A 13,914-nucleotide genomic window follows, 5' to 3' on the forward strand; every position below is an offset into this window, starting at 1 on the left:
TCAAGTGAAGTTAAATCTGGTCCTAAATGCCAGGCCTGTAAGTTGAGGCCGTTATCTACTTGTGATTGCCTACTGCCTGCTCCTCCCTACTGATATAAAACACATTCTCTGTGTAGGCCAAGAATCTCAACTCTCTGGGCTTTTTTTTTTTTTTTTTTTTTGGAGACAGAGTCTCACTCAGTTGCCCAGGCTTGGAGTGCAGTGCTGTGATCTCGACTTACTGCAACCTCTGCCTCCTAGGTTTAAGCAATTATTGTGCCTCAGCCTCCCTAGTAGCTGGGATTACAGGTATGCACCACCACGCCCAACTAATTTTTGTAGTTAGAGACGGGGGTTTCACCATGTTGGCCAGGCTGGTCTCGAACTCCTGACTTCAGGTGATCCGCCTGCCTTGGCCTCCCAAAGTGCTGGGATTAAAGGTGTTTGAGCCACCGCACCTGGCACCAAGAATCCTTTTACCCACTTGCCAAACCACTCTAGCTGTCTGCCAATACTGCCTTTTAATTTTTTTTTTTTTTTGAGACGCAGTCTCACTCCGTCGCCCAGGTTGGAGTGCAGTGGTGCGATCTCAGCTCACTGCAAGCTTCGCCTCCTGGGTTCACGCCATTCTCCTGCCTCAGCCTCCTGAGCAGCTGGGACTACAGGCACCTGCCACCATGCCCAGCTAATTTATTGTATTTTTAGTAGAGACGGGGTTTCACCCTGTTAGCCAGGATGGTCTCGATCTCCTGACCTCGTGATCTGCCTGCCCCGGCCTCCCAAAGTGCTGGGGTTACAGGCGTGACCCACTGCACTTGGCCTTTTTTTTTTTTTTTTTTTTTTTTAAGACAAAGTCTCACTCTATCACCCGGGCTGGAGTGGAGTGGTGCAATCTTGGCTCACTGCCACCTCCCGCTCCTGGGTTCAAGTAATTCTCATGCCTCAGCCTCCTGGGTAGCTGGGATTACAGGTGTGTGCCACCACACCCAGCTAAATTTTTTTGTATTTTTATTTTTTTGAGATGGAGACTCACTCTGTCGCCCAGGCTGGTGTGCAGTGGTGCGATCTCAGCTCACTGCAACCTCCATCTCCCGGGTTCAAACGATTCTCCTGCCTCAGCCTACCTGGGACTAGAAGCGTGTACCATGATGCCTGGCTAATTTTTGTATTTTTTGGTAGAGATGGGGTTTCACCATGTTGGTCAAGCTGGTCTTAAACTCCTGGCCTCAAGTGATCCATCCACCTCGGCCTCCCAAAGTGCTGGGATTACAAGTGTGGGCCACTGTGCTAGGCCTAGTTTTTTTTTTTTTTTTTTTTTTTTTGGTAGAGACGAGGTCTCACTATATTGCCCAAGCTGATCTTGAACTCCTGGGCTCAAGTGATCCTCCTGCCTCAGCCTCTCAAAGTGCTGGGATTACAGGTGTGAGCCACCACACCTGGCCTAGTAAAATTATTTTTTAAACTTAAAGTTATTTTTAGAAAAAAACTATATGGTAGTGAGAGACATATGTTGTGGTGATTATTATAGTTTAGCAGCTAACATTTACTGAATGTTTACTATGTAACAGGTGCTACTCAGATCATTTAACATATATTATTTCCTTTAATCATCATAGCTTATAGGGTTTACTATCTTTATTTTACAAATGAGAAAAGAGGGGCTTAGGCTATGTGACTTGGTTAAGGTCAAACTAAGACACGGTAGAGAACTGAAACCCAGTCTGTCTGGTTTTAGAACCTGAACTCTTGAGCTTTATGGTATAAAATCCTACCTCAAGCGAGCTAATATTCTTCTTCCTATGGAAATGAGATAAAAATTATGTTAAAGTTATAGTCTTTTATAAACCTTAATATGAATATTTCATGGGTATGGGGGAAAGATATGCCCCACATGGGTTACAAAAAACAAAACAAAAATAACTCAAACTCTATTTTGAGTAACAAAGGGAAAAAGAAGAGCATATATATCCACATTTAAGGGAATATTTGTACACAAGATTTTTTTTTGCTTGTTTTAAGTAACCAGATTAGACAATGCAAAAAGTATTATTTTATATCTTTAAATACACTGAATAAAATACAACTTTTAGCTAAACACTAAAAAAAAAAAAAGAGAAATTAACTCAAGATAAACTCTAGATAAATAATCAAGTATTACCAAAGATCTTAGAGCTGGCTGACAATTTTACTTTGCATCTAAAACTTAAAAAAACCTGCAAGGTGCGGTGGCTCATGCCTGTAATCCCAGCACCTTGGGAGGCCGAGGCAGGTGGATCACCTGAGGTTAGGAGTTTGAGACCAGCCTGGCCAACATGGTAAAACCCTGTCTCTACTAAAAATACAGAAATTAGCTGGGCATGGTGGCAGGAGCCTGTAATCCCAGCTACTCAAGAGGCTGAGGCAGGAGAATCACTTGAATCCAGGAGGCGGAGGTTGCAGTGAGCCGAAATTGCGCCATTGCACTCCAGCCTGGGTGACAAGATCAAGACTCCGTTTTTAAAAACAAACAAAAAAACATATATTAAAGAATGCTTTCTCATACAAAGTCTATATAATTTGGTTTCTTATTAAAAGGCATCAAAAATAAAAATATTTTGAGAAAATATAGTTTTTTTTTTGGTAATGTTGCAAACTTCAAATTTTTCTGTAGAAGCATTTTCTGACAAATTTGGTTTTACAGAAAAAAATAGTAGCTTAAACTGCTACTCTATTTTTGATAACATATTTTTCCTACAGTTTGACATCTAAATAGTCTATTATTGATACAATAATTCTTATTCTAAACTAATAAACTGTTTTAATGACATTTTGGTTGTTGTAATAAAATAAAACATCTATTATAAAAGGATTATGGTAAAGTAAGGTTTTAAAAGATTCTTTATGTAAAAGAAATCTCAACATTTTCCCACTCATGTTTATCAACGCCTTCTTCTGTGTAAGTTCCCATTTTATTACTGAGATTTTTAAAAAATACAGCTGAGTTCTCACTATGCTGCCCAGAGTACAGTGCAGTAGCTATTCACAGGTATGATCACAGCTCACTGCAGCCCTGAACTCCTGACCTCAAGCGGTCTTCCTGCCTCAGCCTCCCAAGTAGATAGAACTACAACCACACACCACTGAGACTGGCTTAATGTTGTTATTTAACTGGGGCTATTTTTCAATTTCTCAAAGCCCTATTGATAGGCTGACTTAACCATATAATACATATTATTTTCAAGTTCAGTACTTAGCTTTCCTTATTTAAATTCATGTCTCTTACCCAAACCATTAATATTTTCTTCTAACTGGCAACTTCTAATGTTCTTTTAGCTAATATGCATTAGCTAAATTTCTCAAGTAGTCTCATGTCACATAGCTTATTTTCTTTTAATATATGGTCACAGAAAGCTAAGAATGCACTCTGTCAAAACAGCAAACTGTCTTTGCTCTCCTACAAAAGGTCTCTTTCCAGCTCTGAAATGTTAAGATTCTAACATTTACCAACAGATGTATACTTCTTTTAATGTAACTTTCATGAATTTGTTTGCCTATAACACAAAAAACGTGCCGTCCTAATTTTAAAAAAATTTTAGTTTAAATTAAATGAAGAAGGCACATGAGTCTAGCGCTAACTGTGTTTTACACGCTGTAGGCTGTGGCTTGATGTACAAGTTGAATCTAAAAATAAGATAAGGAATATTTTAAAATTTAAATCAGAAACCCTGCCCAATTCTGATTCAACTAAATTCGTATCTAAATGTGACTATCTTCATTTTTGTAATGAATTTTTATTCTTATCCAAACATTTAAACATCAACAAGGTACTGAACATAAATATGAGACTCAAAATGTGGGAAACTGGGCTCTTTCAAAGCTTGGGTGGAGAGGGTGTAGGTTGGTAATTATATATTCCCATACCTATCGTCTTACATTAGGGAAGAAAGAACCTCAAGTCTCATTTAATGCTCTGAAGTCATTAGTACTGAATACTTGGTTTTACTAGTAAATAAAGAACCACATTAATACTGACCCTCAATCTGTCTCAGATGTCATAACTGAAGGTTCAAAAAAACTGACCCTGTAACATCCCAAACACTGAAATCATAGAATATACTGGTTGTGTTTTCAATTTGGAAGATCAATACATAATTCTATAAATCAGAATTAAAAACCAGAACTTCATACCTTGTGCAAGCATGTTAAATTCCAAGAACAGTGCTATGTGGTAAAGTTCCATGGCTTCTTCTGCCCTGGTCATGTTTGGCTTCCCTGCGACGAGAGCCTGAACTTCACTGAGACTCCCCACAGAGGGGCTACAGTGCAAAACAGAGAGGTCCACCACGTCGGTATACATACAGTGTAATATCACTGTTGCATATTTTTTTGGTATAATGGACTCATCTAATATAATTCTTGTGGGAGTCCTCAAAGTTCGGTCTGTGATTTCTTCACCAGTTCGTATCCTCCTTTGTAATAAATTTCGAAAAAATGGGGACCGTGCAGAAATAACAGCCTTGTGGGCTTTGAGCTCTTCATCTAAACAGTTCTGATTTCCACCAAAAGCTTCAACCAGTTCAGAGTCTGAAGAAAAACTAAGGACGACATCATAATAACACATGTAATCAAAGAGTCCACGCATATCTACATCAAGGGAATTTGGTGTTCCAAATTCTTCACTAAGCTGAACAAGGATATCGACATTTTGAAACCTTGAGTCCTCCATTCCAAACTCTCCTGTATAAAGGTAGTGTAACAAAGCAGAAAACATGGGCATATCAATACCAGCTGTATTGATGTCCATTATTATCTCTGCCCCATACTCTGGTGAGGAAGAAAGCAGTGTTTTAAAAAATGGACACCTTGCTGCCAAAATGGCACGATGAACAGGAAAACAAGTTTCTTGAAATATTAAGTCTACATCAGTACAATACTTGTACTCATAAAGATCAGCCATATCTTTCTGCAATGTCCGGGCTTCTGGTCTAGCCAAACTGGCTTGTAGAGAAAGCTCCTTTAATGCTGATGTTCCCTCATATTCCTCCACTAATGCATTGACATCTCTAACATCCCACCCAGAGAGGAGTTCTCGCATCTGCTTGGCATGATCGGCAGACCTATTAGATTTCCGACGCTTAATAAACTTCTTTTTGAGGGTGGCAAGACCAGAGGTTCTCTTTTTTTTGTCTTGTGGTTTCTCATGGCCATGGTCAAGGCTATACAACTTTGATTCGCAACCATAGCCTTGCTGAGAATAGGATGAGGTCCCTAAGAAAAAAATTAAACAAATGAAAATTTATTTTTTCTTAACATTCATTTTCAACGTTTAACATTTTTCATGTTGAAAAATTCTGTAAGCAGACATTACCGAACCACTCAAAATTGCATTTGTTTTTTATAAAGGAAGACAAAAAGTTCAATTAACTCATTTTAGTTTTCAATTCAATTTAATTTTTAGAGATGGAGTCTCACTGTGTTGCTCAAGCTGGAGTGCAGTGGGAAGATCATAGCTCACTGCAGCCTCAAACTCCTGGGCTCAAGGGATTCTCCCCAACCTCAGCTTCCCAAGTAGCTGGGAGTATAGGCATGTGCCACCATGCCTGGCTAATTAAAAAAATTTTTTTTTCTTTTTTTGGTAGAGATAGGGTCTCACTAATGTTGCTCAGGCTGGTCTTGAACTCCTGTCCTGGCCTCATGCAATCTTCCTGCCTTGGCCTCCTAAAGTGCTGGGATTACAGGTGTGAGCCATTGTGACTGGCCTACATTTTTTATATTAAATAAGAAATAGGGACAAACAGAGCAAATTAGTCTAAATTTTTTTAGAAAAAGTCTTTCGTTCCCTGGCTATCAAAGGACATTTGTCATAGATCTTAATCATGGGTTTTTAGGAATGAAAAATAGGCAGAGTTGTAAATTAAGAACATTACTTGTATATAATTGTGAAATGTTTCTTTTTCTTCTTAATTACACAAGTCTGCATTTGTATGGGCAAAATAAATGAAATGGGACACAGGAAATATGTACTTCGCTGTTTTAACACCAATGGAGACTGCTAGTTTGCCTAAGGTAATTGGCAATTATGGTTAAAACATAGAAAAGCTCAATTGTGCTACAAGTGGTTTAAGATAAAAACCATACAAACCAGACTTAAGATTTACGTTTGTTGGGGGAAAAAACCTAGATGCTGCAGAATTATTATAATAACTACAGCTCACTTCTTTTGTCATCTACAGAGACTACCGAAAACACAATTCTATTATAGTCACAAAAGAAAATGAAGTTAGAAAAACTGAAAGTTACCTATAAAAGTCTGTTGGGCCTGTGAATTTCCCCCTACCCTCGGGGAACATGAATGAGGATAATTAGATGCATTAGCACCCATTTTCTTCAGTCACTCAGGCATTCCGTCTGCGGGTTCTTCAGAGTATAATCCCAGAGGCCTTTATGAACCTTCAACCCTGGATCCAGCAGCCTCTTTTCATCCATTTCTTGATATGAAATAAAAATAATTTAATTCATTTTTTCAAGTGTATCTCAGATCACAGTTTTTTTTAAAAAGCTACTGAAAACTGCTTTCATTCACAAATAACAACACGCTGTCAAATTCACATGTCAAATTTTCATAAAATGTAAATCTTTAAGCTTGAATTATCTGTGTTAGCTGCAATTTGAGCCATAAAATGTACCAATTATATACTTTCTAAGTCAGTAAAAAGTAACATATCAAACCAATTTAAATATATAGTTACAGGAAGAGTATTTGAAAACACAGGGAAAAGTACTTGGACTGAAAATAAATGTTTTAATTTTTGTTTTAAATCCTTAGAGGCAATCACCATTCATTATTATCTAACATTGTAAGCAATTTACAAACATTTAAGAGGTCAACACTGGTACCGCACATACAAATAACACATAATTGATTAGTTGTTTTTCTGCCTTAAAATAAAGTTGCTAAAAATCAATCTTTAATCTGTATAATTAGGCATTTTACTAAAAGAGGGAGGAGGAAAGGTGGACAATTAAAGCTAAATATATATAAGCTACTTGTTCTATGGTAATTTTGAAAGAAGTTATTATACACATTGCAAGAGACACAAAACAAAAAATTTTATCTATCCACCCCATAAAGCCCTGAAAAAAAATCCTGCTTTCTATTATGTGATATGATGATTTAAATGGACAGGCCAGTAGCAATAAAAGGTAATTCTAACAATTACAGATTAAATTCTGAACATGGAAACTTAACTCTCAGAGCTGCTAGCAAGAGATTTATGCAAAAAAGAAAATCTAAGAGAGAACAAGATTAATGGAAATACTTCTAAATCTTTACACCATCTGGATATATAAAATCTATCTGACTAAATGGGGTAACGAGTTTAAGAAGAGAAAACGCCATTTAAAATCTATTATTGGAATTGTTAAGAAACCAGTAGGCAGTTAACCTAGCCTCACAATGAAGTGTTTTAACAAATATAGTGAAAAACACGTACACAAATTATCACAAAAATCTGCTAGAAACAGAACTGTGTCAAGATGCTTGGAATTTATTTTCATCTCTGTTAGTGACACAGCATAACCTTATGAATTCATGTTTAAAAATATCGTTAACATTTGTGTTTTCCTACAATCTTTTATAGACTATATTTATATGAAAATTAATTATTTATTTAGACGGAGTCTCGCTCTGGCGCCCAGGCTGGAGTGCAGTGGCGCAATCTCGGCTCACTTTAACCTCTGTCTCCCGGGTTCAAACAATTCTCCTGCCTCAGCCTCCTGAGTAGCTGGGACTACAGGTGAGCGCCATCATGCCTGGCTAATATTTGTATTTTTAGTAGAGATGGGGTTTCACCATGTTGGCCAGGCTGGTCTTGAACTCCTGGCCAAGACCAGGAGTCTTGCAAAACAGGAAAACAGGAACTAAAATTACCTCTATTAATTCCACTTCAAACTTAAAAACCAGTTAAGTCTAACAAATCTTACTTTTAAAGCTGAGCTCCACAGAATCTTCAAGATCTTATCAGGCTTTTATAGTGGTTCTTTCAAAGAAAATAAGGGCCTGGAGGCCAAGTTTGTGGCCTCATTTATAGGTCAAATCCTAATCTCACTCAGGGTTTACATTTAAAACAAAAAACAGCACAAACAATCCTTTCTCAAAAGAGTTTAAAATATATAAACAAAAATCCAGAATAAAACTATCATGTAAAATAAAAAGCCTTTACCAAAATGAGGGGGGAAAAAGACTTTTAAGATGAGCTTGGAATCTGAGTGTAAGGGGAGATGGTGAAAATCATGCTGAAGTGTTTCTAAAGGTAAGACGGCATGGTGTCACTCCTATGGCTAGGCCTCTTTGCACTTTCAAGTTCGATTATTATTTCTTTTTTTTGTTTGTTTTGCTTTTTTATTTCTATTGACTGAGTAAATTTAGTAACATAGCAGAGTATGCTTATGGCATGAAACAAAGAAGAATAGAGCCTTGCCTCCGGATGAAGAAAAATCAGAAGCGTCTTCAGAAGCGGACAAGAATTTACTACTCTTACTTTAACACGTACATGCATGCACACACATATGGAATTATTTTCATCTGAGAATCTTGTATGGTTTGTAGAGACTCAAGATGCCACACGTTGAGCATCCCTAATCAGAAAATCCCAAATCTGAAATGCTCCAAAATCCAATACTTTTTGAGTGCTGACAGGATGCCACAAGTGGAAAATTCTGGAGCTGTCTTCTTTGCTTTTTGATGGTTCAATGTACATAAACTTTGTTTCATGCACTATATTAAAAATATTGTATAAAATTACCTTCAGGCTATGTGTATAAAGTGTGTATCAAACATAAATGAATTTTGTGTTTAGACTTGGGTACCCCACCAAGCTATCTCATTATGTAGACACAAATATTACAAAATTGGAAAAAATCCCAAACCTGAAACACTTCTGGTTCCAAGCATTTCAGATAAGGAATACTCAACGTGTATTACAATGGTTTAATACTTAAACCATGTCAAAAATCCCTTTTTTTAAAAAAAAGCTCTGGTAAGGGAAGAACACCAAGAAAAAAGAAAACAAAATTTAAAAAGCTCTATTTTACGATGAGCACAATTAGATATCCTAAAGCAATTATACAAGAGTTATATGACATCAATGGCCCCACTGGAGAAACAAGAACAAGTTGCAAACACTAGGGAAGTCAGAGGCTGAGCTAAGGATGTTTGGCCATTTGCTGCTACAATAAGCAGTAGTAGCTGCTGGGATAGCTGGGGTTTCACCTTAGAGAGGTGGCCAGAAATACAAGTGTCTTTGGGAGTTAGGGAAAATCTCTTCCTGGTAGCTCCTGGTTAATGGGAACTCCCTTCAGGATGAACTGATTTGGGGACATTCATATATCCTACTGGAGCTCTATATACTAAAATAAACACAGACCTTGGAAGGGAAGGGAGGTGGGGGAGGCAGATTTCCTGGATGAGATGTAACCCTTGAGTCTACCCTGTGTTCCCCAGTTCCAGAGCCTGATGGGTAACCCTGACTACAGTTCTAGTACTACAGCAATATTTCTTCTCAAAATCCTCACAATTAACTCAGGGATTAATGTCATTACTTCTCAGGTAACCAAAATCCTATGTCAGATGGTGCTCAGTATTATGTTATTTATTTCTGAATCTAAACCATCACTTGTAGATGTTGGAAATGAGAACTAGTCTCAGTTTAATCTCTCCAGCGATGTGTTCTCTCCAGGCAAGCCTGGTCTCTTTTCTACAGACATCCAATCTTTGTATGATGCAACGGAGAGAGGAGCAAGGAGAGGGGAGAGGAGAGGAGAAGGTCTACAGGACTTGGAGAGGCCCAGAATATGCAAAAGGCTGATGAATCCTTTTTCTAGAATCACCATTCTGGGGGACTCCCTCTTAATAGCATATGATCAATCCCAATCAGATGATGCTGACTGTCTTAAACTAAAATAAGCTCCAGTGATCACGGCAGACCTAACTGTGGGGTGGGGGCGGGGAATCATGTTGAATGCAAGAAAGACTAAACAACCCATGAGACATTTTTTAAAAAAGAGAAGTCAACTTTCTCCTCCCTAACCCACCCCCTTACCCCAGCCCCAAAAAGAAAGCCCTAGGCCAGCATTTTCCAAAGAGCTTTCCCAAAGTTTAGAAAATGTAGGATTAAACAAAGCCAAATAGGTTTCTTTACTTCAGGACATTTGAGCACCTTTAAAGTGCTGAGGTTCATTGTAAAGAGGGAGCATTCAGCATGATCTAAAGAAGCCCTGCTGCCCCCACGGGGCATGAAGGAATGAACTTGCATAACACACTCAGGAAAATGCTGATCTTTGCCATAAAAACACTTTTTATTGCTTCATGCAATAGAAAGAACTGTGGGAGTTAAGGTATCTAGGATTCGGTTATCTCTGTGTCACTAATTTACTATGTATGTAGGACACGTCACATGTAATCTCTATGGGCCTCAGTTCCTGTATCTGTAACATAAGAACGTCGAAACAGAGTTCCAAAAATTTAATGAAGTTGTACGGTTTATTAGTTTAGGAAATATGGATGGGGAAGGAAGTTCTTTCTTTGTTCTTTTTTTTTTTTTTTTTTGAGATGGACTCTCGCTCTGTCGCCCAGCCTGGAGTGCAGTGGCGTGATCTCAGCTCACTGCAATCTCTGCCTCCTGGGTTCAAGTGATTTTCCTGCCCCACCCTCCTGAGTAGCTAGGATTACAGGTGTGTGTCACCATGCCTGGCTAATTTTTGTATTTTTAGTAGGGACAGGGTTTCACTATGTTGGTCAGGCTGGTCTTGAACTCCTGATCTTGTGATTCGCCCACCTCAGCCTCCCAAAGTGCTGGGATTACAGGCATGAGCCACTGGGTGCCCGGCCCTTTTTTTGAGATATGGTCTTTCTATGCTGCCCAGCTAGACGTGCATGGCTCACTGCAACCTCCACCTCCCAGGCTCAACCAATCCTCCTACCCCAGCCTCTTGAGTACCTGGGACTACAGGCGTGTGCCATCATGCCCAGCTAATTTGTGTGTGTGTGTGTGTGTGTGTGTGTGTGTGTGTGTGTGTGTGTGTGTGTGTGTGTGTGTGTGTGTGTATATATATATATATTTTTTTTTTGTAGAGATAGGGTTTTGCCATGTTGCCCAAACTGGTCTCAAACTCCTGAGCTCAAGTGATCTATCTATCTTGGCTTCCCAAAGTGCTGGGATTACAGGTGTGACCACGGTGCCCAGCTGGAAGGTATTTCCATACTAAATGTTAATCTACAGAGGGGAAAAAAAGAGGCACCTGAATTTCGCATTTTAAACATATTTCCCTTTCAGTCTGACTTTAGGAACAGGATAGGAATGTGGGGCAAATGTGAATATAAATAACAATTAACGGCCTGGCTCAGTGGCTCATGCCTATATTACGTCTATAATCCCAGTGCTTTGGGAGACTGAGGCAGGAGGACTGCTTGAGGCCAGGAGTTAGAGACCAACCTGGGCAACATTGTGAGACTCTGTCTTTCCAAATTTTTTTTTTTTTTGAGACAGAATTTCATTCTTGTTGCCCAGACTGGAGTGCAGTAGTGCGATCTCAGCTCACTGCAACCTCCACCTCCTGGGTTCAAGCGATTCTCCTGCCTCAGCCTCCTGAGTAGCTGGGATTACAGGCATGCATCACCATGCCAGGCTAATTTTCTATTTTTAGTAAAGACAGGGTTTCACCACGTTGGTCAGGCTGGTCTTGAACTCCTGACCACAGGTGATCCGTCTGCCTTGGCCTCCCAAATGCTGGGATTACAGGCGTGAGCCACCGTGCCCAGCCAAAAAATATTTTTACATATATATATATATACACACACACATATACATAAAATTAGCCAGGTGTAGTGGTACGTGCCTATGGTCCTAGCTACTTGGGAGGCTGAGGCAGGAAGATTGCTTGTGCCAGGAGTTCGAGGCTGCAGTGAGCTATGATCACACCACTGCCCTCTAGCCTGGGCAAAAGAGTGAGACTTTCTCAAAAACAAAAACAAAAAACCTAAAGAAAAACCATAATGAAAGAGAAATGTAAAACTATACTAATACTTCACTCCTGTCAAATCTAAGGTAACAACATTGTTATAACAGACCATAGGCATTTGGACTCCCCATGTAATGAAAATTAACAAAGGGACAGACAGATTTCCCAGACAAAGCTTTTATTCTGGGGCTTGTCCTACTGTGCTAGAGCGCAAGGGAGACAGACAGCAGAGCCTGGTTCCCTGAAAAGAGCCAGTAAAGATTTATTAGGCAAAGCGCAGGAATTGACATCAGGGATAAGGTATGCAGGCTGGGCTGGGCAAAGCATGTGAGGGGTAGAGTATGCAGGTTAGCAAGGCTGGTTGTGATGGTTATCTTGAGTACGAGTTAACTGGTGGTCTGTCTGGCTGGCAAAAACAAGGCTGGAAATCAGTTGTTCAGCATTCCTTCCAGAGGTGAGACACTCAACAACCTTGGTTCGATTTTGGATCTCCTAAGGCCAGTTTCTGGAGTTCTTTAAGCACAAGGCATGGTTAAACAGTATGAGAGCACAGAAGAATGGCTATTTTCTTTGTATGACTAAAGCCTTGGGATTAGTGGGTATAGTGCCAGTGAGGCAGTGGTGTGGGTTTTGTGATTAGTGGGAATGTACGAAAAAATGCTAGTGGGGGTGAGCTGAAGCCAAGCCCCATTTTAATATGATGTATTATTCAAACCAAGAAGCTTGAGAGTGAAAAGGGGTACATATCAGAGGGGACGACAGAACACGTGTAGCCCAGGTCTGACCAGGCAAAGTGGGATGAATGGTCATATCTCTAGCTAAATCTCACATTTCCAGAGTAGCTTAGAAATAAAACAAAGTTTTAAAAGAAATAAAGGGCCGGGAGCGATGGCTCAAGCCTGTAATCCCAGCACTTTGGGAGGCCGAGGCGGGCGGATCACGAGGTCAGGAGTTCGAGACCAGCCTGACCAACATGGTGAAACCCTGTCTCTACTAAAAATACAAAAATTAGCCCGGCGTGGTGGCATGTGACTGTAGTCCCAGCTACTCAGGAGGCTGAGACAGAAGAATCGCTTGAACCCAGGAGGACGAGATTGCAGTAAGCCGAGATCACATCACTGTACTCCGCCCTGGGTGACAGAGTGAGACTGTCTCAAAAACAAAACAAAAAACCACTTAGCCAGGCAAAGTGGTGTGTGCCTGTAGTCCCAGCTATTCAGGAGGCTGAGGCAAGAGGATCGTTTGAGGCCTAGAGATTGAGGTTGCAGTGAGCTATGAGCATGCCAGTGCACTGCAGCCTGGGTGACAGAGCAAGATCCTATCTCAAAAAAAGAGGTAAGTCTCAAATGCCAAAGGTATTGGGTCTTTGTTCGGAACACAATAGAGGAACTACTGGAACAAAGCACAGAGTAGTAAGAGCAAAGCAGCACCATTATACTTCTGTTACAGAAAGACTACTGGAAGATGCTTGATCTATAAAAAGATCTTGATGCAGAAAGACTTATTAGAGGATTCTTCCAACAGTCCAGGAAAGTAAGTGTTAATAAGGTCCTGGCTTTATTTCTAAAATGGGGGCAATATAATAACACCTACTTTACAAGGTTGTTTTAAGAGTTAAAATAATATGGACTGCTGGTCAGGCATGGTGACACATGCCTGTAATCCTGGCACTTCAGGAGTCTGAGGCAGGCAGCTCGCTTGAGCTCAGGAGTTCGAGACCAGCCTGAACAACATAGCAAGACCCCATCTCAGAAAAAAAAAAGTTAAAAAAAAAAATAAAAAAGATAATATGGACTGCCACTCGGAAAGCAGAAACAGGAGCCTATCAAAAGAGAAATGTCTTTTGAGGGACTTGGGCCTGTGCCAGGTCTGACCTGGACTAGACGAACTACATCTTAAAAGATGTTAAAATATTCTTTAAAAAATTCAGTTTCTAGC

At 39.7% G+C, this 13,914-nt stretch overlaps 1 protein-coding gene across 8 annotated transcripts in view; it reads right to left on the reverse strand.

The window, feature by feature from the left end:
- The window catches only part of BTBD7 (BTB domain containing 7), a 95,487-nt gene that overhangs the window by 52,162 nt on the left and 29,411 nt on the right, over positions 1-13,914 (reverse strand). For 6 of the 8 annotated variants that reach the window (NM_001002860.4, XM_011536939.3, XM_047431566.1 and 3 more), the window contains exons 2-3: positions 6,259-6,446; positions 4,147-5,226 (exon numbers count right to left, since the gene is read on the reverse strand). The exons of 1 other annotated variant lie outside the window; for it this stretch is intronic. In NM_001002860.4, coding sequence (NP_001002860.2) covers positions 4,147-5,226; positions 6,259-6,340 — 1,162 coding nt within the window. In that variant the 5' untranslated portion in view covers positions 6,341-6,446. Of the gene's footprint in view, positions 1-4,146; positions 5,227-6,258; positions 6,447-13,914 lie in introns of those variants that run through there. One more of the 8 variants, XM_017021438.2, reaches the window with a different exon arrangement.

The sequence above is a fragment of the Homo sapiens genome, chromosome 14 (assembly GCF_000001405.40).
Source record: "Homo sapiens chromosome 14, GRCh38.p14 Primary Assembly".
In the NCBI taxonomy this organism is placed as follows: Eukaryota; Metazoa; Chordata; class Mammalia; order Primates; family Hominidae; genus Homo; species Homo sapiens.